The sequence below is a fragment of the Homo sapiens genome, chromosome 6 (assembly GCF_000001405.40).
Source record: "Homo sapiens chromosome 6, GRCh38.p14 Primary Assembly".
In the NCBI taxonomy this organism is placed as follows: Eukaryota; Metazoa; Chordata; class Mammalia; order Primates; family Hominidae; genus Homo; species Homo sapiens.
The window spans coordinates 21167682-21192711 of NC_000006.12; the positions used below are offsets into that span (position 1 = coordinate 21167682).

At 37.8% G+C, this 25030-nt stretch overlaps 1 protein-coding gene across 14 annotated transcripts in view, besides 2 other annotated features; it reads left to right on the forward strand.

Moving 5' to 3' along the window:
* Nucleotides 1-25030, forward strand: part of CDKAL1 (CDKAL1 threonylcarbamoyladenosine tRNA methylthiotransferase) — a 697948-nt gene that overhangs the window by 633225 nt on the left and 39693 nt on the right. The window lies entirely within an intron of this gene.
* Nucleotides 14467-14526: an enhancer, noted in NCBI's record as "active region_24135". NCBI's record gives its function as "activates an Ori minimal core promoter by ATAC-STARR-seq in GM12878 lymphoblastoid cells {active_cell/tissue: GM12878}" and the evidence as "EXISTENCE:reporter gene assay evidence [ECO:0000049][PMID:35858748]".
* Nucleotides 18129-18855: an enhancer, noted in NCBI's record as "OCT4-NANOG hESC enhancer chr6:21186041-21186767 (GRCh37/hg19 assembly coordinates)". NCBI's record gives its function as "activates a minimal SCP1, AML or CMV promoter by ChIP-STARR-seq in naive and primed H9 embryonic stem cells {active_cell/tissue: H9 hESC(naive and primed)}" and the evidence as "EXISTENCE:reporter gene assay evidence [ECO:0000049][PMID:30033119]".

The window sequence follows — 25030 nt, forward strand, 5'->3', positions numbered from 1 at the left end:
ACCAAAATCTTAACTGTATTATTAATGGATGGCCATGTGACAGTACCTTGTCTAAGACATTCTTCACCAGTGAAATAAATCAGGAGATTCCATTTTATTTAATAAATTAAATTCATGGCTTCATAAGCCTTACTCAAGGAGACACAAGGCACTGCCAGCTGATGTTATAATCTATGTCGGAGCTTCTAAGGCCCTCTGTCATCTCATTCCGCAGATGTCTTCAGAAGCCCTTGAAACTATTGCAAGCTGATAAGTAGACGTGCACACCCAAGAAAGTATACTAAATTATAAACAGCTTTGCAGAACTGGCAAAGCATTATCGTTTGGCAGTAAACCTGAGGAATGGTTAAGTTATGTTCCAAGCTGCATTTGAGATATCCTGCATGTAGTCAAAGACTGCAGTTGACCATAGGAAGCATGCTGACCGGTGGCTTGAGCATAAAAGCCGAAAATGCAGTTAAGTAGATCAAGATAATCAAGTTGAAGTCAATGTAAATCAAGTCAACCCTTCTTTCTGGGGGCAGTTGAGAACCTCAAACACCGTTGTGCCCAGCCTTCTGCTCCTCCTCCTCCTGAGAACCAGATCCAAAGCAGATAACATCCAGGTGCTCCATCTGTTTCATCAGTGCTGCTCAGGAAGGGCATTTGAGATTCAGTCAAGATGGGATCATTTTCAGGTTCCTAACATGTCAAGCAGCCTAGAAAGACAACTCATTTGAGCAGATGCTGTACAGGTAACATATGGAAGCTACAGAGAGATTAATTTTTATTCACTAGTGGGAAGACCCTTTAATACTTAACTGACATAGCTACACATGAGAAAAATTTCTTTTTTATATAATTGCACATTTCCTTGGACTCAAAGCTATTGTCTTACAAATCAGAAAGTAATACACCACAATTGGGAAAAGTGGAAGGGTAATTTCAAAATAAAAAGCATACCATCTGTTTCTAAGGGCTAAAGGAATGTTCTAAAAATCAGTGTAGTTTCAAAGAGCTATAAATACAATTTGTAATGTACTGTCATACCCATACCCACATAAATAGCAGGCTTTTACCAGTTTTCTTTTAGGTAATGTATTTAGTAACCAACAGAGCCTTGATCAACAGAGCTTTGATATTTTTCTGTATTTTTGTCTTGCTTTTAATTCGCATCTATCTCTGTTTCTCTCTCTCCCTCATATACCCTTTTCTCCTCTCCTCTTCTTTATAAATATCCTTCTTCGCCAAAACATAAATATGTAAGTGTATTGTTTTCTGCCCAAGACAGGAGCTAATTTAAGGTAGATACACCTCCTGGGCTGCAAGACAAAGTTCCAGATTAGTCAAGACTTGTGAGAAATTCATGTGAGGGGCAAAGAAGAGATTATTTATGTGGAGAAAGTGGGAACCTACATAGGATTATTTTTATCCAGATGAAAGAAATACGGGCAGAAGCAAACTAAAATGGTCTACAAGTTGGGCATTAAAAAAAATACAACTGGAATATTTTACAAAGTCTGCCCCATGGTGATAAATACACACGAGCAGATATTACAATGCCATGCATCTGTGTCCCCACCAAAAACCTGTGTGATTTAAAAAGTGATGTTAATCCGACTAGCATAACCCTTGGTGGGTTCATCTGTTTTCTGACAAGATGAAAAAGTGATAGAAAAGTCATCAGATCTCTGGCTGACACAGTGGCTTATGCTTATAATCCCAGCACTTTGGGAGGCTGAGGCAGGCAGATCACTTGAAGCCAGGAGTTCAGGACCAGCCTGGCCAACATGGCGAAACCCTGTCTCTACCAAAACATACAAAAATTAGCCAGGCTTGGTGGTGCATACCTGTAATCCCAGCTACTTGGGAGGCTGAGGCAGGGGAATCACTTGAACCCGGGAGGGAGAGGTTGCAATGAGCTGAGATCGCACCACTACACCCCAGCCTTGGGTGACAGAGCGAGACTCTGTCTCAGAAGAAAAGTCATCAAATTTCTGATGAATGTGGTATATTAGTCTGTTCTCATGCTGCTAATAAAGACATACCCAGGACCGGGTAATTTATAAAGGAAAGAGGCTTAATCGACTTACAATTCCACATGGCTGGGGAGGCCTCATAATCATGGTGGAAGGCAAGAAGGAGCAAAGTCACATCTTGCATGGTAGCAGGCAAGAGAGGGTTTGCAGAAGAACTCCCTTTTGTAAAGCGGTCAGATCTCATGAGACTTATTCTCTCTCACCAGAACAGTACGGGAAAGACCCCCCCCACCCCATGATTCAGTTACCTCCCACTGGGTCCCTCCCACAACATATGGGAATTATGGGAGCTACAATTCAAAATGAGATTTGGCTGGGGACACAGCCAAACCGTATCAGTAGACAAATTCATACCTATCACTGAAAGATGCAAAGTAATGATGAAGACAGCTAATGTTCTGTGGAGCACACAACTGAAGTTTAATGTCTGCTGTCTTCAGCCTTGTCTGATAAAATGCTGGAAGCATGGCACCTGAGATGGTCACTGGGACCATATTTTACTGTCTGCAGAAGAAGCACTGGTGGGATGAATCACCTCCTGTAATACATGGGTTAGGAAGAAAAATAACATAAGTAGTTTTATTAGTTTTCTTATTTTAAATACAGTGTCTACTTATGAGGTTGGTTGGTTGGTTGGTTTGTTGGTTTGTTTTGAGATGGAGTCTCACTCTGTCACACAGGCTGGAGTGCAGTGATCTTGGCTCACTGCAACCTCCAGCCCCTAGGTTCAAGTGATTCTCCTGCCTTAGCCGCCCGAGTAGCTGGGATTACAGGTGCCTGCTACTGTGCCCAGCTAATCTTTGTATTTTTAGTAGAGACAGGGTTTCACTATCTTGGCCAGGCTGGTCTTGAATTCCTGACCTCATGATCGACCCGCCTCAGCCTCCCAAAGTGCTGGGATTACAGGCGTGAGCCACCACGCCCGACCGTACTTACCGGTTTTTAAATATTTTCTTTCTTATTAAGTTTGGCATTAAAAAAAAGTCATGACACTATTTCTAAAATGTTTCTGATGCAATGAATATGTTTTACTGATATTTTCATGTTGAAGGTAGGGAAAGCTTTGTGTAATTTACAGAGGCCGAGGAAGACAGTAAGTACCCTAACCTCCCCAGACAGATTCCACTGCTTTTAGTTGGTACTGTTAGGCTATTTAGAAGACTTATAAATGATAATCTGTTTACAGCCCTGTCATTAATCAGCAGTATTTTTAAATTATCTTAATACTAAATGAAAAGTTGAAGTAATATTGTCACCATCACCACGCAGGGAACAGTAGCTCTGATCACCTGATTACCCACTTTTATTAGTAAGATATTTTTAAATGGCTTTGATTTGATTGTTTAAAAAATATATAGAAAATCTGAAAAGTAAAGAGAAGAAACAATAAAAAAATAATTAATCACTATGGTCCAGCACACAGGTTTCACCATTATGATCAGTTTGGAGTATTTGCTTCCTTTAGACCTTGGGTATTTATTTTATTTTACAATGCTATCATTATATTGCATACAAGTTACTTCTTTTTTTTGAGACAGAGTCTTGCTGTGATGCCCAGGCTGAAGTGCAGTGGTACGATCTCAGCTCACTGCAACCTCTGCCTCCCAGGTTCAAAGGATTCTCCTGCCTCAGCCTCCCGAGTAGCTGGGATTACAGGCGCCCACCACCACACCTGGCTAATTTTTGTATTTTTTTAGTAGAGATGGGGTTCACCATGTTAGCCAGGCTGGTCTCGATCTCCTGACCTCGTGATCCGCCCACCTTGGCCTCCCAAAGTGCTGGGATTACAGGCTGAGCCACCCTGCCCAGCCAGTTACTTCTAAAAATCATACTGTGAGCACTGTTTTGTGTCACTGAAGTTCTCAGAAACCTTTTCTGTAATGGCTACATAATACTATGCCATTGAATGGATACATCACTTTATTAACTATTCCACTATTGTTGAGCATTCAGGTTGTCTCCAATATTTTATTAGTATAAATTACTCCATAATAAATACCTCATACTATAGATGTATTCTTAGAAGCACAATTAATAGGTTAAAGGATACAGGTACTATTAGGTTAAAGGGGTTTTGGTAGAAACTGCCAAATTGCTTTTTAGAAAAGCTGTCCACACTCCCACCCCAGGGCCTTCAGTTCCAATGATTAACCCTTTTTTGTTATTGGTGAAGGATTTGTATAATGTGCCTTTGTATTTATTTTGCTTATATTTCATCCAGATTTTTATTTTGCATCGATGTTCAGAAGTAAGATTCATGTGTAGCAATGGATCTGAACATTTTGTGGTCTGTGACTCATTCGAGAATCTCATGGAAACCGTGAACCTTCCTCTCCAAAAAATGAACATACTGATACATATGCAGATTTTCACATATTTTAAGGGAACATGGACAGTCCTCCCCCTAAAGCCAGTCAATATTTTGTTGCTCACCTGATACTAAGTGCTTTATATGGGGGTTATTTCCTTGAACCCTCACAATCGGGGGTATCACAGAGGAAAGTCACTTGGTCAAAGTGGTATCACTATGAAATGGTCAAGCTGGGACTCACTCTCCAGAGCCTCCTGTCTTCATGATGTTCGTACCCCAAGGGAAAGGATCCCCTGTTTTATTATTCCTCTTCCACGCCCCGTGGTCAGGGTTTTCCAGTCATAGTCATGCTGCCTTCCTAAAATCTAGTGGGATCATTTTCTGTATTTTTTCCCATGCTCTGGATCTCTTTCTGTAGCATGGGGATTGTGTTTCTTGAAAGTTTGAAAGCTTTCTTGGCTGGGCGAGGTGGTTCACGCCTGTAATCCCAACACTTTGGGAGGCAGAGGCGGGCAGATCGCTCGAGCCCAGGAGTTCAAGAACAGCTTGGGCAAAGCAACATAGCGAGACTTCTTCTCTACAAAAAAGATTTTAAAATTAGCCAGGCATGGTAGCATGCCCCTATAGTCCCAGCTACTCAGAAGGCTGAGGGGGGAGGATCGCTTCAGCCCAGGATTTGAGGCTGCAGTGAGCTAGGATCATACCACTGCAATCCAGCCTGGTGACAGAGCAAGACCCTGTCTCTAAAAAAATTAAAAATAAAAATTAAAGCTTTCTTCTCTAGAGTTTTTTAGCAGGAAATTATTTAATGACATTTTCAGTTGCTTGTGTGTACATTGGTTTCCTTTGTTAAAAATTTTTGAATCAATTTTTATAATTATTTTCTCCAATGACTACGCATTTCATTAGAATATTCTTTTTCATATTTATTAGCATAGAGTTGTATGTAATATTCTCCTGGTTCTTAGCACTTCCTTTTCATTCCTCATTTTGTCTTTTATCTTTTTTTTTTTTTTCTTGATTGGCTTTGCCAGTGTTTTGTCTGCTTCAGTATTAATTTTTTGTAAATTTCATTTTGTTTTTGTGAGGTTTTTCCTCCTTCACCTCCCCACAACACCCTTCTTTCCTCCTGCATCCCCCCCACACACCCAAAAATACTCTTGGATGAGTAATTGTGCCTATTTTTATATTTTATATTTTTGTAATATTTTATATTACTTCTTCATTTCTTAGGGTGTGGATGTTGTTGGAGTTGTTCCTCTTTTTCTAAATGCTAAAGTTGAATGTGGTGTTTGTTTGTTTTTTAATTCTTCCATGCGTAATGGTCTGATCTTTTCTATTTTTCAATCGACTTGTTTGGACTTTAATTCAGTGCTTATTTAGGAAAGTGTTTTAAATTTTCATATGTGCTATTTTTATAAGTTAATCATTAAGTTTTGGATAGTAGAATCCTAGGTTCATTTGTTCAAGAAGTTTGACCATTATAGGGAGAAATGAACATGCATTGACACTCATTGATGAGAAGAGAAGCTTGAGGGTCCACATTTTCTATTTTGTTTAGGTCAAAAACTACTTACTGATTACCTACTGTGCTCGAGGACCTGTGCTAGGTAGTGGGGCTATAACTGAAAGTTTCCTTTCTCATGGAAATTTTGGTCTACCAGAGAATGCAGATGAATACACAAGCAATTACAGGAACTGCAGGAAAATCAACTGAAAAACTAATAAGACCATTGAGTTTGAGCTAACTACAAGATACCATCAAAAATAAAATTAAGGTCAGACGCAGTGACTCATGCCTGTCATCCCAACACTTTGGGAGGCTGAGGCAAGAGTAATCCTTGAGGACAGGAGTTCAAGACCAGCCTGGGCAACATAGTGAGACCCCATCTCTGTGAAAAAGATTTAAAAATTAGCAAGGTGTGGTGGCACTCAACTGTAGTTCCAGCTACGGAAGGCTGAGGCAGGAGAATTGCTTCAGTGCAGGAATTTGAGGCAGCAGTGAACTGTGATCACACACACCTCTGCACCCCAGTGTGAGTGACAGAAAAAAAGAGAGATCCTGTCTCAATTAAAAAAAGAAAGAAAGAAAAAATTAACAGAAAGGGACAAATTAAATAAACACAATAGAAAAAGATCTCATTCGCTAAAGGAACTAAGCAAATACACCTGGAAATAAATCTAACAAAAAATAAATGTTGTAAGACCTTTATGATGAAAAGGGATATTTTTCTGAAGACTATAACAGATAATGTATTCTTGTATAGGACAGTGTAACATGATGATGATAGTATCAACTGTCCCTATGTTATTCAATAGAGTCGGTATAATCTTAGTCAAAAGTTCAACAGGGTTTTTGATACATTTTAGTACAAAGTAGTAAAAAACTTACACATAATGAATGAGGGTAAACAAAGTTTAAATGAGGAAAAATAGTCTCAATAATTGTAATTCAGTTATTATAACTCAACAGAAAAATGGACAAAGAGATTCAATAAACACATGAAAAGAATTCCCTCTCAATAGCAATTAAGAAAACAAAAACTACAAAAAAATATTTGTTCCCCTTTTATGTCAACAATTAAAAAATGTTATATACAGTATTGTTGGGTGTAGGTAAGAAAACCCTCATAAACTATGTGGAGAGAGGCTGTGGTCACAGTGCTAAATGATGCCAAGAATAAAAAAACACATTGATAAGGCCATTTTGGAGGGCAATTTAACTATATATATATATATATGAAAATCAAAAGTATAACTATTCTTCCTTCAACCTAGTAATTCCACTTCTAGAAAAATGCTCACCCCGTATCCAAAGAGATATGCGTTATTGTTGGTAATAGCTTAAAATTGGAAACAAGCCAAATGTCTATTAATAGGAAAGTGGTTAAATAAATTATGGCATCTTCATTATATGGCCTCCTGTGCACTCATCTGAAAAATAAAGTAGGGCTTTATGTGGCAACATAAGGCGCTGGGCTTTCTCCTGAGAGCAATGGGGAACCATTGTAGGGTTTTAAGTGGAGGCACGACATGACCAGACTTGAGTTTTTAAAATATCTCTCTGGATGGATTATGGATTATGGGAAATGGATCAGAGAGACATAAAATAGAGTCAAGAATCCCATTAGGAGGCCATTTATCCAATTGGGCATTAATGGTGACTCCAAGATATGGCAGAGCTGAAACTGCATTTACACAGCCAAAAGATACTTAGGTATGGCAATACATTGTGGTATTTTATTTTGACGTTATTTTGGGCAGCTTTGGCTTACAAATCACTTACCTAGACAAGGATGATAAAATAGGTTTTCTGACTATAAAATCTATTTACTAAATTGGTTAGAATTACAAGTCTATTCATTTTGTTAAATTTGCTTTCCAAATAAAGCTGCTCACCCCTCTTTGTTGAAACAACAAAGCTCATCTAGGTGACCATCCCTCTCTTTTTGCCTTGACTCTCAGGAAGCTCAGAGACAAATTTAGCACTCAATGTAGTGACCTATACTTAGGTTTAGATTATAATTAGCTTCTACTTTTTCTTCCACAGATTTAGCCTTTTATTTTTATTTTCAAAGGCTACATGGTTATGTGTGTCATTTATTGTACACTGATTTCTCCATTTTTAAAAACCAGACAGGTTTAAAATTACTAATAAATAAGTGAATGTTAAAGTTACCATCTTAGCTGCATAGTCTGTTTGATCCCTTGGTGACTTGAAAGGTGTTGTTTGACTTTTATCTCCTAAAGTTGTGAATATTTCATATTGATTTAGCAAAGGTCTTCTAATAAAGAAGGGACCATTTTAACTTCACAGCAGGCTTCATGGTAGTAATCTGCTCCTCAAGATTAATTAAGCATTTGTAACATTACTTTATAACTGTCACTTGTCTGTAAAATTGAAGAGGTAGCATAGCATGGTAGTTTAGAGCTTGGCCTTTGGAGCCAGACTCCAGGGTTTGAACATGGGCTGTGCCCGTCACCTACCAGCTGTGGGACTGTGGGCAAGAGACTTAATGCCTCTGGGTCTCAGGCTCCTCATGAAGAGATCTCTACTGCATGGGGTGTTTTGAGTATTGAACTGGCTAATATTTGTAAATTGCTTACTATAGTTATTTGTTAAGTGATAAAATGGAATGGAGATTTCTTTTCCTGTTGTACATCCTTAGGTGGAACAGATGTTAATTCATTTAAGACTATGTGATAAGAGGAACATTAAAGGTTTAACCCTTGATTCTTATTTTTGTATGCATGTAAGTACAGTTCTAAAAGAAAACATTTTTCTATACATTAATGAATTTAAAATCATAGATTGTTTATGCGTGTTTAATGCTGATTAATTTGGTGTTACTGTTGCAAGGCCAAACAGTGACTCACAAAGAAGTGAACAGACTGGCATTTCAAACAATGCACAGGCAAGACAAGTGAGTCTGCTAAATATGCAGCTCATCTCTTCAATGGTGAAATTTTAGATCTGCTTGGTTTCTTTGGTAAATTATAGTCTAAAGGAGACCAAAATATTGCTTGGAATTTATTTGCGTAGCAAGCCGCCTGCACATGAAGGATAGTACACGTGTGCTAGAATGTGAAATCTTATAAAGCACAAGGCAGCTTAGGCAAAGGGTCTTCCTGTACCCGTAGTCTGAGAATGTCTTCATGGGCTGGATGTTGGTTTTTTTTTTTTTGTTTTTTTTTTTTTTTTGAGACGGAGTCTGACTCTGTCACCCAGGCTGGAGTGCAGTGGCACGATCTTGGCTCAGCGCATCCTCCGCCACCCGGCTTCAAGTGATTCTCTTGCCTCAGCCTCCTGAGTAGCTGGGATTACAGGCGCCTGCCACAGTGCCCAGCTAATTTTTTTTTGTAGTTTTAGTAGAGATGGGGTTTCACCATCTTGGCCAGGCTGGTGTTGAATTCATGACCTCATGATCCACCCGCCTCAGCCTCCCAAAGTGCTGGGATTACAGGCGTGAGCCACTGCGCCTGGCCAGATGTTGGTTTTTAAAAAGCAATCCTCACAGCCCCCTAACTGTTAGATAAGAATTATGATTTTAAAAATCCACAACTCTGCTATTCATTTGAATTATTTACATAAGCAAGGCCTCTCCTTCTCAAATTGGAATCATACTGCAATATGCTTTTTGAGGCTTTTGGGTATTCTCAGTTAATTTAAATAGACTTGAGTAGAATGAAAATTGATCAAATATTGCATTGTTTTTAAAGTTAGGTCTCTTGTTTTTCACTTGAGAGATTTTTTTCCTCCACTTTAATACATTGGCTCATTTCCATTTTTATATTTCTTAGATATCATGATAATTATTGTTTTGATAAATTCCTACTCCCCATCCGCCCTTACACATACACACTTAATTTTGTTAGAGAATGTATCTGTTATCAAATACATTAAGAACTACCTCTGCATTGTAATGATTATGAATTTTTCAGAGATTTGATTTAACTGCCTAATTCTGTTTAGAAGCCTCAGTTTATGAGTTTTTTTCCCACTGTCCTTTCATTAACTACTAAAAATGAATACATTAAGAAAGTAGGTGTTTTAAACAAAACCAGAACACTTGATTTATAAAACAAAAGCTTGATTTAAAGAGTATGATATGTCTTCAACCTGGTTGGGTATTATTTAAAGTTTTCCTCTGATCTTTTTTTTTTTTTTCAGTAGCAAAGAGATATATTATCTCCAAAATGGCTAATGGATCTATCCAAACATTGGTTTTATAAGGAAATTGAAGAATCATTATTTACGAATATATTTGACAATTTTCCAAAAAGATAATGAGAGCAGACACGTGGTGTAAATAGTATGTTTTTGATAAAAATGTTCTCTTAGCCTAGCAACCAAATCAGAATGTTGAACAAACAAAATGAGAAGTAAAATGTTAAAATGCATTCTGTAGTATTTTAGTTAATAATTTTATATATGGTTCTTTAAGCTTTTCCCATTTTATAATTGTCAAAACTAAACAGCTTGTCCAAACAAAAGTTAGAATCTCACTTGAACCCAACCTATCACCCACTGATACTTTCTTTAGTCTATCAACTATGTAATGAAATATGTCATGAAATATTATTATTAAAGGCTAATTCCAGCCAATGTTGCAAGCATAAGGCACAGGAGAAGATGAGAGATGGAGATTTAAGGGGCAATCATATAGTATCCAAGGAAAAAGCCTTATCATGGGGAAAGAGTAAGATGATAGAGAAAAGGAAATAGTCAAGAAATTAACATTTCTGATCATCATTCTAAACTATATGATGGGGGTTACATATTTAAGGATCTTTTATAACATAAAATTCCTGTACAAAGCCAGTACCTGTATTTTCTTTGTAAATCCATTACCATTTATATTGTAATTCTAATGATATTGGAGAAAATATGAATTATGAGTGTGCTGTTAATATGATGTGCCCTGTGTAATTCTGAACTCAAATAGTGAAGAGGAAGCCATGTTTATTTAAAATGTGGGAGCATCATTTTTCTTAACATTTATTTTTAGTGTTAATTTTATCTTGCATATAAGACCTTACTTGGAAAAAAGAGAGGATCACATGGTGAAAGGTGATCTTGTTAAAAGTCATTGCAGAACAGGTTAATTTGATTGAAAATGATCCCCCCACAAAAGTTTCCAAATTATAACTTAGTCTCTTGTACCACATGGACCTTTCTAGTTATAATGGTGATATCAACATCCCAGCAACCTACATTCGTATAGCAATTTTCAGTTTCCTAAGGGATAGCACCTGCTCTCATTTGTTAAATGAACTGGTTATACTTGGTTCTAAGTGAGGATCCAAGAGGACTTACCTAAGCACAGGAGGGCTTGAAGCCGAACTCCAACCTCTGCAGGTTTCATGGTCTTTCTACAGCACTCTGATAGCTCACAGCAGACTACACAGCTTAGGAAATAATTACAGCCTGCCACAATTTTTCTTAATTTTTAACTGAAAAACAAAATCTCAACTCTAAAATTTGATGGACAGTGAGGTTAGTTTGAGAAGTTGAGAAACTCTTATTTTCCATTATCCCTGTTATCTTTTCACCTAGGACACAGCAAGTGACGTGCTCATTGCATGGGCAGAGATTTTCCCACTCCTGGCACTGCTTTTATGCTGTCACCTCTTTTCAGGGTGAGGGAGGGCCACAATAACTTTGCAAAGAAAGTCCCAGGTTTTCAAAGAGAGCAGAGAGTGTGGGGTGGAGGTGGGAGAGAATGAGACCTTAGTAGAAACACTACCTGAAATAGGCATATAAAACAAATTACCCCAAATCAACAACTCATTATCATTACAGGGTTTACTTGTTCGCAGATGTTTCCTTCATTTATCAGTCTAGGGCCTTATTTAACCTCAAGACTAATACTCAACAAAGCCACATGCTAATCATGAGGACACCTATACAGGGGCAAGTAGTTCCTCAAGGGGCATTTATTTCCCTGTATTTTCTAGGAAATGCTATTGGGAGGGTGTATTTTAATAATTAGCATTAAATTTGTTTCATATTTTTGCCTAGTAGCTTTCTCTCAAGCTAAAGAATTTGGAAAGACTTGTTTATTCATTATATATTTGTACAAAAATCAGAAATAAAGTTTTGAGGATTGAATATTTTAAGCTGTTATTACCTTCCTAAAACAGCATTTTTGTTTGCTGCAGTAGTCTTTTTCCACATATACTTCAAGTAATGGAATACTATCACTTTGAATTTTAAAATGTTAAGCAAAACAAAAAAAGAGGCTGGTCCTGGTGGCTCACACTTGTGATCTCAGCACTTTGGTAGGCTGCCTGAGTCCAGGAGTTCAGGACCAGCCTGGGCCATATGGCAAAATACTGTCTCTACAAAACAATACAAAAATTAGCTGGGCGTGGTAGCATGTGCCTGTAGTCCCAGGTACTTGTGAGGCTGAGGTGAGAGGATTGCTCAAGCCCGGGAAGTCGAGGCTGCAGTATGCTGAAATCATGCCACTGCACTCCAGCCTGGGTTACAAAGCGAGACCCTGTCTCAAAAAAAAAGAAAAATCACCAGCTTCACCATTATAAACTATGTGATTCTGGGTAAGACCACCTCAACCCAAAGGGCATTGGTTTCCTGATCTGTTGAATGAGAATAATGTCTACTCACCCTGTAGGGTGTTTGGTGACAAAATAAGGTAAACCATTTCATCACCAGAACAAAAGTAGTGGTATGGTAATGCTTGTGTTCATAGTCATCATGGTGGTTAGTTGAAGAATCAAATTTTCTCCATCTGATGCTTGAACTTTCTTATGAATCCTTCCTACCCACTACCACCTTCATTTAAAACAGTGACTCTGAGACCTTTAAGTTTCTTTTTTTTTTTTTTTGACCTTTAAGTTTCATACCACACTTGCCAGTCCTTGTGATACCAAATAATACGTCAACTGGAATACACCAGCAGGCTTGTTTTAAGTCAGCTATTTACAGCTGCTAGTGTTTTTAGAAGCAAGCAGAAGTTAGCTGTCTGGTCCCAATGGTAATTATCTGATCTTACACTGATTTCTAGAAAGCCTCAGAGGGACACCACCTGAATCAATCAGAAATAGCTAGTAAGGAAATTGAATTAACATTTTGAATTTAAAAACTTTTTTCCAGATACATTTTTTTTTTACTATGTATGAGTCACCCTTAAGGCTACTAATTTTGCTCCATTAATTTTTATTCATCTTGTATGTCTGCTAAAAAAGAAACAGCAATTACATCTTTTCAAAGACCTTTTGTAGTTTTTATCTTCTGTTTGTGATCTGGTAAGAAAAGAACTGTTTATATCTGAGTTTCATTTTCCCCAAATCTCTGCATTAGTTTGAATGTATCTCTAAAGCTTATGTGTTAGAAACTTGTCTTAGTCTTTTTTTTCTGCTGCTATAACAGAATACCACAGACTGGGTAATTTATAAAGAAAATAAATTTATTTCTCACAGTTCTAGAGGCCGTGAAGTCCAAGAGCCTGGCAGCAGCATCTGACCAGGCCCTTACTGCTGGCAGAGAGATCATGTGGTGAAGAGCACAGGAGACAGAGACAGACACAGACAGAAAGAATGCATGCATGTGCAAGAGGGTAGGAGTAAGAGAGAGCTGAGAAAGCCACACTCACCTTTATAAAAACCCACTGTCGAGATAGCTAACCAACTCCGGAGATAGCAACTTTAATCCTTCACAGGGTGGAGCCTAAGCTTATGACCGAATCACCACTTAAAGATTCTACATCTCAACACTCTTACAATGGCACTTAAATTTCAGCATGAGTTTTGGAGGAGACATTTAGACCATACCAAAATTTGATTCCCAATGTGGTTATATTGGGTGTTGGGACCTTCAAGAGGTTATTAGGCCATGAGGGCCCCCATGAGTGAATTAATGTTGTTATCATGGGAGTGGTTTCTTATAAAAAGACAAGTTCAACCCACTCTTGCTGTCCTCCCTCTATTGCCTTCTCTTTGCCCTTCTACCTTCTGCCATTGGATGATGCAGCAAGAAGGCCCTCACGAGGCACTGGCACCTTGATCTTTGACTTCCTGGCCTTTAGAACCATGAGAAAATAAATACATTTTCTTTATAAATTATCCAGTCTCAGGTATTCTGTTATAGCAGCACAAAACAGACTAAGGCAGAGATCTAATCACAAATTTTACATGTTGATGTTAAAGATAGTTTTCTTAGTCAGTATTTTGATATTAACAGGTCTGTATTTTATATGTTGTAACCTACTACAAAGCAGAGAACTTTTATATGGCCATTTTGAGAAAATATTTTAATTATTTCTCTTCCTTCTCTACTGGTAAGTGAATGGTAATAATGAAAATTTCTCTTTCATTTGCCATTTCTTTCTGCTTTACTGTACTGATAGACTACCTGTTATTAATGGTCATTACAGTACCTCTTATTTTCTCTTAAAGAACTTGTTTTATGTTTTCTTCAAGACACGTAATAAGTAGCAAAGAGATGGTCCAGCATTGTTTACTGCAGAAAACAGTGCACTAGGAAGTTTGGCACCTAAGACCTATATCTAACTTACACAGTATCCTGAACCAAGGTACTTAAATTCTCTGTGCTTCTGTAAGTTGGCAACCACAAAAGTCTATGTGAAAGTGAAAAATAAGAAACTAGATGAAATAAGATTATTATAGCTGCTCTTTGTTATGAAGATGATAACAAAAAATACAGCTATTCTAAGGCCTTCAGAATAAATTATAGAATTAAATTTTTGAGAAAAATGCCATTGATTTATTTCAGTTTAGCAATTTTTCAAAAGGTTTCAGTGCTTGACAGTATAACTGTAAGAATATCACTATTTATTAAAAGAGCTGCTTCATTCATTTACATTTATTGAGAACCTATTGTGAGTCAGGCATTTAGGTGCTAGGGATAAAGTTACAAATGAACAAAATCTCTACTCGTGGAATTTAGAATCTTGTGAGCATTCTTCTAGGTTATTTCCCTTAAAATTTAAGGTAACTAGTTTGCTGAAATTAAAAGGAGTATTTTACCCTGCTGTAGTGCTATATGTGTGTATGGTTCTTAAACTTCACGCTGTCCTGTGTACTGTTTAGTAACAGAATTGTTTATTATTATGATTCTGGTATGTTAATGAAGGGGTACTCATTTGCAAATAACTGTTTAATCTGTGATTAAAATCTGGCAGCTCTCTTAAAAATAAAGAACAGTTAAAATGCATAGTCACTGTCCTGCTGTATTGAATATGCAATTGAAAAACATTAAGAAAGGCATATCCTATTTATCACTTTTAATGAATCTTTCACCCTGGTCCCACTGTAAGCCCTTGATGGTATTCCTGTCATCCCATCCATATGCTCCTAAAAGCATTAACTATTCTTGGCTCTGTGCATGCCTTAGTATAAAATCAAAATCTCTAGGTTTTGATCACATATAAGCAAGCTTAAAAAAATCATTATCATTACCATATCCTCATTAAGATGATGGGCCCCTGACCATCTCTTCATGTTTGCCTTGCAATCTAAAATTCATGTATGCAAAGGGAATTTTTCTTATCCTTTTGAAAGAAGAATGATAAATATTTATACAGCCTTAACTCTTTCAAGCAGGCATAGGATCATGTTTTAGAAATGACAGTAAGCTGCTCTAGGTTTTTTTTTTTTTTCCAGCATAATTCGTCTTTCCAATAGCTACTGAAAAAAATGAATTGCAGATTTATCAATATTGGAGAATTTTCCTGCTCTCTTCCCATTAAATATGTTTAGTCTTACATTTCTGCAACCCTTTTGAGCCATGGCTTCGAAAAGGGAGCAAAGAGGTCCCTCTGCTTTTCAGACAGGGTTCCTCCAGAGGGCTGGCAGTACGCCCACCAGGAGTGCTGACCTGTGCTCAAGCCCAGGATCCTAATTCCTCCGGCACCTTTTTGCTTTTTTAGCATATTTAACAATAATCTAGACTCTAAGTAACTAGTCACATATCCGTACAGTGTTGCTTTCTAAAAGTTACTCCTCTCTGAAGCAGCAATTAGAGCTCCAAGACAGTTTTCTACTTGAAATTAAAATTCCCTCATGACTACTTGAATAAAGACGTCCAGTAGTAATGTTGAAGTTATGAATGTGTTTCAGCTCACAGAGCTGTCTTCTTATAATAAATGGAAGATGTGTGTGAAGTTGGAATTTAGTTAAATATAGACCATCCTGGAGATAGTAGAAGTGCTGCGGGTTATGTTACCAACAATAATCTAACTTGTCCTGCACCTGCTGTTGGACCTCCTCCATATTATTACTTCTGCCACTGACTCCCAAAAGCCAGGTTATTAATCTGAAGACAACTCAAGACCCAAGCCACATCATTACTGTTGTAAACCAGAAATAAAATTCTAAGCCCCCCAACCAACTGAATGCACCCCTCCTCTTGGCCGGGGGCATTCAAAGTTAACCTGAAAAACTGATACTTTAGGCCATGAGAGGAAGCAGGGACTGGGGGTTGGAGGGGTAGGTTGGACATGCCTCATTATGCTCTCCTCTGTTTGGAATTCAGGTACAACTGACCAGCAGTAACATTAAAACAGAGAACTTAAGACTGACAAAACAGACTTTTTGTAACAATAAGATACCAGATTCCAACCTGATTCTGGTATAGCATCACATGACAGATAACAGGCCCTAAAAAAATGAAAATATTTTACCCCGAAATACATTTCTTTGACCTTTTTTTTTTTTTTTTGAGGTGGAGTCTCGCTCTGTGTCCCAGGCTGGAGTGCAATGGCACGACCTCGGCTTACTGCAATCTCTACCTCCCAGGTTCAAGCGATTCTCCTGCCTCAGCCTCCTGAGTAGCTGGGATTGTAGACACCCACCACCATGCCCGGCTAATTTTTGTATTTTTAGTAGACATGGGGTTTCACCATGTTGGCCAGGCTGGTCTCTAACTCCTGGCCTCAAGTGATCAACCCACCTCGGCCTGCCCAAAGTGCTGGGATTACAGGCGTGAGCCACCACGCAGAAACCAGCTCTTACATGCTGAGTAGTTCACCACACAGAGAAAGGCCTTTTAGAATTCAAGTGATCTTCTAAGGTTTATTTTAACTGTATACTATCATGTGCAAAGTATCATAGCATTAAAATATCTCACCTTAGGCCTCCAGCCAATGCTTTTATTTAATTAATTAATTTATTTATTTGAGACAGGGTCTCACTCTGTTCCCAGGCTGGAGTACAGTGGCACATTCATAGCTCACTGGTGCCTTGACCTCCTGGGCACAAGCAATCCTCCCACCTCAGCCTCTGGAGTAGCTATAGCTAGGACTACAGGTGTGCACTACCACGTGCAGCTAATTTTTTTTTTTTTTTTTTTTTTCTGTAGAGATGGGGTTTCACCATGTTGCCCAGGCTGGTCTCAAACTCCTGGGCTCAAGTGATCTACCCACCTCAACCTCCCAAAGTGCTAGGATTACAGGGTGAGCCACAGTACCCAGCCTAAGATTTGAATATTCTCAAGGTCTCTTAGTTCCTACAATGCAGTAATTTTGTAGCAGTTTGAAAATCCAGACATACTATATAGGTTTTCCCAGCTACTCCTTGAGTTGGCTTTGTTTCTGCTATTTAGTCTCAGGAACTGTTGCAGTGGTTCCTATCTACATCTGTGATAAACAGCTTTTCCTAGAACAACTTGCAGACATGGCAATGTTCAGGTTTAAGTAGACGATGTACTATTGTGTTTGGCAGGAGAGGCCATTAAAAAAAAAAAAAGCAGCCCTCATACTAAATTTCTTTTGAAAGGTGTTACTGATCAAAAAATATAGCTCAGAATTGAAAATTGTTTGGACTAAATAACTGTGTCCTTTCTCTCACCTTCCCATTCAATCCTTCCACCTAAGTAGATTGATATGAAAAAGTACATAGGATTGCTTAAAGCTTTTATCTTTGTTAGTAATCACCCTGGAAGAATTTTTAAATTATTGATTTAAGTAGAATCTTTTATTCTTGGTTTAAATGTATACAAAAACTACCTACATGCTCACCTACAATCTCGATTTTCTTTGAAATTCATCTATTTTCTCACTTGTCTACATCAAGGGGAAATAGGGAGCGAGGATAGGTCTGAACCAAAGTACTCCCACTTAAATGGCATGATGTGTCTACGTATCTATGTGTGTGTGCGTGCCTGTGTGTGCACATAGCAAATTACTGGTTGCAATAAAATTTGTTAGAATTTCAATTTGGCTTCATTAAGTCTGAGACAGTGAAGTAATACTAAGGGAGAAATAGAATAGGTGAAGAGAAATAAATACTAGATCAATTTTCTTTCAAGAAAGACGTTTTAGAAGAAGTAGTATTCATTTTTTAGGTCATCATTGACATTTCTCAATATTATATTCCTATAAACTGCATATCAGGACTTGTATGTGCTTGAGGAAGCTACATTTTCACAGCAGGAGAGGAAATCAGAATAAAGCATTGAGATGCAGGTGCACAGTAATACAAGTGGGCTCTTTCCCCTGCAGCCTGAATGCCTGGCCAATAATGCAGAAGCTCTTGGAGCCGGGCTCTCAGGGTCTCCCGGAGCTAAGCCAAGAAGTATGGGGGTGGGGCAGGGGGGGTCAGGAGAGAATAATTGTTATTCAGTCTTCTTTAATGAGATGTATTGCCCACTGCTGAAAGATTGTGGCAGTGCCTTTTGTTATGCTAATTAGACACCATTAGAGCTTGGCTCTCTTTGATTTCTGCTTAATCTTTTCTGCTTCCTCAGCCTCAATCCTGACTGGCAAATGGTTGAAAGATGGTGGGGTGTACTGCACGTGTTATTTATTGCTCACATCTATGCTGAGTTCTTTGGGGAATGGGGGGGAATGTAAGATTTATCTTACCAAAGGCAGTTCCTATTTTGGACGTTCATTTTTGGCTTATTTTTAAAAAATGAATTTTTTGATAATGATTACTTTCTGCCTTTTAAGTCCAAATGCCACTGTTTTTTATATGGTTGCTTTTGCAGCCACACTGAATGGAAAATGACAGATTGGAAAATGTAGATGGCCTCTCCTTGGTTGCCTGATTTTCCCTAAAAACAGTGAGCAAGCTGATCATGCCATAAGGTTTTAGAGATGCTGTGGTCAACCAGAAAAATGGAAGCAAGAATAATTTAATGGTCAAAAAGAGCAATTTTGCTATTCAAAATTCCTGCCTTTACAGTTTATAGACATGTGTATACATTCCTTCCTAAAACTAAAACATTACATTTACATGATTACCACAGTTAAGAGTGTGGTGAGGTTTTTTTTTTAATTTTTTTGAAAAATGACTAATATCCTTTCTAAAACAGTGAAATGGTAGATTTCCGTTAAATTTTTAAAAACAACATCATAATGTTTTAGAGCAGCCCTCTCCAATAAAAATATGGTATCAACCACAGATGTTACTTCACATTTTTTGATAGCCGCATTAACAGAGTAAAAAGAAACAGGTGAAATTTGTTTGAATAATATATTTTATTTACTCCAGTATATCAAAACTATTATCATTTCAGCCTGTATTCAGTATAGAAATTAATGAGATGTCTTACATTCTTTTATTCATGTGAAATTTTTGAAATCCGGTGTGTACTTTGCACTGGTGTATGTTTGATAACACATCTCAATTGAGATTCGCCACATTTTAAGTGCCCAGTGGCCACATATGGCTAGGACTACTGTATACATGGTGCAGTTTTAAAGTAATTGGGTAATTCACCACTTGCCTAAAACAACTGGCAGGATAGAATCCATTTTTAACATTATAGATTAAATATTATGAGGTATGTGACCTTGACCAAGTCACTTAATCTCTAAGGGACCTGTATTCTCATCTGTAATATGAAGAGTTTGTCCTAAATGATCTCTGAAGTCCTCTCTTCTATCCAATCCAGCTCTGAATTCATGATTTTAAAAATTCTCATTTAGAAGTTGGGTAGGCTGGAGCTTATCCATCCTTTCTCATAATTTAGTATTTGAAAAGAAGCTTTCTTATGCCATAAAGATAATTAGAAAGCGTCCTGCATACCACACCCACACCTTTTTTTCTTCCAAATGTCTGAATCTTTCTTGGAATTATTCTGAGTTTTATACCATTGGTAATGCCTGGTGGTGTAGCTCACTGAGTTGCCTGACTCCCCATGCTTTTGGAATGAGGACTTGGAGCAATGAAGGTGTGAGGGAAGTTGGCAAGTAGTTACTGCAGATTACTAGATTACATAAACAATCTCTCTCTCCAATGCTTTTGCTTTTGCTTTTCTCTTTTTTTAAATTTGGCTTACTTTTTGTGTCGTCAGTGAAACAAAACTTCTACAAGCACCTTCCAAGAAAGTGACCTATTAAATGTTATCACTGGTCACTTATGTACCTTTTGGGGATGGGGAATGTATGAAAAAAATTTTTTCCCAGAAGCACAGCCCAGTTTCATACATATTTTTGCCCATTTGTGAAAAAAAAGGACATTTCCTTATTTTAGTGTTTATTCGTTGAAAATTAAGTGAAACTTTTTTCACATATGTGCTGTATGTAGATAATTTAGATTTTTGGTTTTGAATTGCTTTTTTAGCAGTTTGTTTTTCTGTTGGGAACATTTATTGTTTTCTTACTGTTTTGTAAAGGCTCTTCATATTATATAACCTATAACATGTCATTAGTATATATGTCATACTTGCAATTTTTTTCTATTTGCTTTTTGACTTTGTTTATGACAATCTTAATATACTTTTTTTAATCAGTAGTTAAAAACTTCTCATTTATGGCAACATAGCATTATGTTAAAAATGTTTCATCAACACGTTACATGTCTAATAATTTATATTTCCTCCAAGTATTTTGTGGCTTCTTCTTTTTCATCTTTTCAACTGACAAATAAAATTGTATCTATTTAAGATGCACAACCTACTTTTATGAGTAGGTCCCTTTCTGAGAATCTGCTCTCAAAGAAGACTGGCCTAGACTTGCCAAGTAATGGCTGAGAGAGACCAGTGGGAATAGATCAAGAGGGTGGAAGTGAACGGAAATTCTGTTCAATTTTTAGGTTTGCGCTTTTCATAAAAAAGTTCTACACTTATATCCAGTGTTGGCTCCATGGGCCCTTTCCATGAATCAGATCTCATGGATAGATCTTACTGGCAGTATCTGGCCATAGAACTTCAGTTTTCAATATTGAGCACTTTCCCAGGCTGCCTGGGCATGACAGAGCTTGCCCAGTGTGGGGAAAAACAGACCTGATGTACTTTGTGCCGGCTCTGTGATAGGAGGGTCAACTTGTTTGGGTTTGTTGAGAGGGTAGATTTCATGTTATATGTTCTTACCACAATTTTTTTTTTTAATTCCACAAAAAGCTTTATAGGCAATACCTTTGAATGCTCTAGAATACTCAGAATGTACAGGCAGGTGGTTAAAATGCAGCTGCTTTTTGAACTGGCAGTTTAGGTAGCACTAGATTTGGATCCCTGACGCCAGGCAGGAAGGCATCAGTGTGGCATTTCCTGTGTAACTATTTGCTCTTACTATTGGCTCTCGATCAGCAGATGAAAATAGCTTTGTTACTAAGAATGGGATTTTGCCCCCAGCTGGGAAGAGACTACCTCGGATTGTCTTCCTCTTACTGGGGTAGACACGGCTAGAAGAAAACCAACCAGCGTGAAGAAAAGCACAAGGAGATTCTTGTTAGAAGAAACTTCATGGTCTGATTCAGTAGAACTGCCTCGGGCCTGGTCTTTGTATCTTGTATCACTGCACAAAGAAGGGAAGAATAACTTTTGAAAAGCCAAATTGTTTTACAATTTTTCTTTCTACTTAGGTTATTTCTGAAATGCAAAGAAAGAAGAAATAAAGCTACTAAGATACTCATGGCAATTAATAGATAAGCATATATACTTAAAAATATGGCTACTCCACTTCAAAGGAACATTCTTCCCCTTTTGAGTACATTTATATCTATTAATAAGTGTATCTAAAGAATTTTTTTTCCACAGAGGACAATGTTTTCAAATAATCTAATGAATGCCTTTTTTTGTCATTGTTTAAGAATCAGTTAACCAGTCTAGCGCTTTGAGAATAAACTGTCCAACATCTTCTCTTAAGAACCCTTAAGTAGACCAACAAATTGATGGCTAGCATTTTGAATACGATGGACTTAAAGGCTCATTACTTGTTTTCTATGCTATCATCATTTTTGACACACATTCTTGTGTCATGGCCCTATTTCATTATAGAATGGCATTGTGGAGTAAGGATGATATTAAATTTTAATGTTATTGCTATTATTACTGTTGACCGTTTTTAGCATAAGTATGCCTGGTTCTTTAATTCCAGCTTCTGCAGGGCCAGAAAATAGAAGTGAGCATAAACAGTCAGGAAAATTACTGTATACCCAGGAGACCCAGCATCGCGTGCTCTGCCTGTTGTGAATGAGGAATCAAAATGGAAAGGTTATCATTTTCATTAGCTAGGAAAGAACAAGACCATACTTTTCTCCAAGTGTAATTACAGCGGTTCACTGGCAACATTACACTGCAGTAATTAGTCTAAAGGTGTATGTGAGGGCAGGCTTTTGCACAGACACTAGAAATATTATTTCAGAGTTGAAGGTCACAGCCTTGTATTTAACATGTTCCAGGCAGCTTAGGGGGGAAAAAAAAAAACTAATTTGACTGGAGCTAAAGAAAGACATTTGACATTTCCCAGAGTCATACATTCAGAAACCAGTCAGGTCGAAAAATTGTATTTTATTTTCTACAATAAAAGGCAAAACTTAGCTGCAGAAATAGCATGTCAGAATATTCTGTAGGATAAGCACAGATAAAATTCAAGTTTATTAGAACCATGATGTAAATGATTACAGGAACTTTTGATATGTGTGGGGTTTTTTTTGTTTTTTTTTTTGAGACGGAGTCTCATTCTTGTCGCCCAGGCTGGAGTGCAATGGCGTGATCTCAGCTCACTGCACCATCTGCCTCCCAGGTTCAAGCGATTCTCCTGCCTCAGCCTCCCGAGTAGCTGGGATTACAGGCATCTGCCACCGCACCTGGCTAATTTTTGTATTTTTGTAGAGATGGAGTTTCATCATGTTGGCTAAGCTGGTCTTGAACTCCTGACCTCAGGTGATCCACCCGCCTCGGCCTCCCAAAGTTCTGGGATTACAGGCGTGAGCCGCTGCGCCCGGGCTGATATGTGTTTTAATCTTTGCCTTAGGAAGAGAATGGACAGAAAAAATAATTGTCAGCAGCTCTTAAAGGGAAACAAAATAGTTTCTTTCTTCCTTAACACCATTTTCAAGAAACAAATGTCTATCTTACACAGGTCCATATATCTACGTCCTTTGTGAATTTTTTGTTACTCTATTTAAATAGTAATATTGAAATCTTTTTGTAACTCAGCATCTCAGAATAGAAATTGATTGACATTATTTTCCAAAGCCACGTCAGGCTTTCTGTTTAAGTAAAGTGAAAGTAAGAAGAAAAAAAAGTTATAAAGAGAAGAGCAACTTTACATACAGTTTATGTTTAAAGCCATATATGAGTTTAAGAGAAACCTTTTGCTTTTTCTAGTCCAAAGAATACTTTTGCAAGCAACATTTCTTACTGAGTTAAAAGTATTAGCCCAAATACCCTGATGTCTTTGTTTAATTTGAGTAATGTCTGCGTTTCTTCACACAATTCTGTTTCTCTCTTTATATCCTTATATAGCCTTGTAGAATATTGTTTGTTTCAGGGCAAATGATGACTTAGAGTGTACTTGAGGACCATTCATTCAGCAACCAAATTCTGTTGGAAACCACTGCTTTTTAAATGCAAGTGTGTGTTTTATCTGCACTCTCTGGCCATATGGTTAGAACTGATGTTTTTCACAACTTCAGGCACTTGGGAAATTTAAGCATAGATGTGACACAAATGACACAGCTAGCTGATTATGTAACTTACTGAAAAATCTACCCCAAAATTGAATTTAAAAACATTGCTATTTGTTTGTCACAGACGTTTCTCTGCTCAAGGAAAAGTCATACACTGCAGAATTAGATCCGTGATGTTGTAAGTTTTCCACAGCTAGCAATTAAATAGGAAGCATTGAGTAGTGGGAAGAGTTCAAAGACTTCCCTTTCTTCTGCCACTGCCACTGCCACTGAGCAAATCACCCATCTTGCCAGACCTTAGTTCTCTCCCTGTGAAATCAGAGAGATTGCTAAGCTCCCTCCAACATCTTACTTTCTTTGTCTGTCTAGGGGAATACTGCTTTTATTTTCTGCCTTTGTGGTTTTCATTAAAAAAAAAAAAAAAAGTATAAGAGCTTTTCTCATATCTTTTCAACAAGGCCTAGAAAATTGTAGCACACTCATTCTTTCACAGCTGGGGGCCGTGTTTCCCAGCAGCCCTGAGAGGTCAGCAGTAATGCAGGGTCTTGTAGAGACGTTTCCTGCGCCTTCCTTCACTTTAGTGACCGAGTCAGAGAAAGCAAGGGATAGTTTTACAGGAATATTTTTATAATTCATTTTTCTTTTTTTTTTTTTTTTTTTTTTTTTTTTTTTTTTTTTTTTGAGACGGAGTCTCGCTCTGTCGCCCAGGCCGGACTGCGGACTGCAGTGGCGCAATCTCGGCTCACTGCAAGCTCCGCTTCCCGGGTTCACGCCATTCTCCTGCCTCAGCCTCCCGAGTAGCTGGGACTACAGGCGCCCACCACCGCGCCCGGCTAATTTTTTGTATTTTTAGTAGAGACGGGGTTTCACCTTGTTAGCCAGGATGGTCTCGATCTCCTGACCTCATGATCCACCCGCCTCGGCCTCCCAAAGTGCTGGGATTACAGGCGTGAGCCACCGCGCCCGGCCATAATTCATTTTTCATAAAATATCTTTAAATAACGTTAAAATGATGAAATGAAGTTCTGTACATCCTAGGAAAAAATTACTTTCTCTACTTACATTTGATGAATAAATTGTAAAGTATGCCTAGCTTGTTAAAGCAGGTGCCAGAACCAACAGCCACTTTCAAAAGTCCATAGAACTGAATTCAGTAAAGGAATAAGCTCTGAAGGTAAGAATTGTCCCTTACTTCAGAGAGCTACAATCAAGTTACTACAATCAGTTACTTTCCTGACAGATCTCTTAAAAGGCAAAGCTTTGTAAATGGAAACTGAGTTTCCCTTGGAAATACTATAGCATTTGTATTCTCAACAGAAGCTTTTAACCTCTAGCATGTTACAGAAATTAAATAAACATC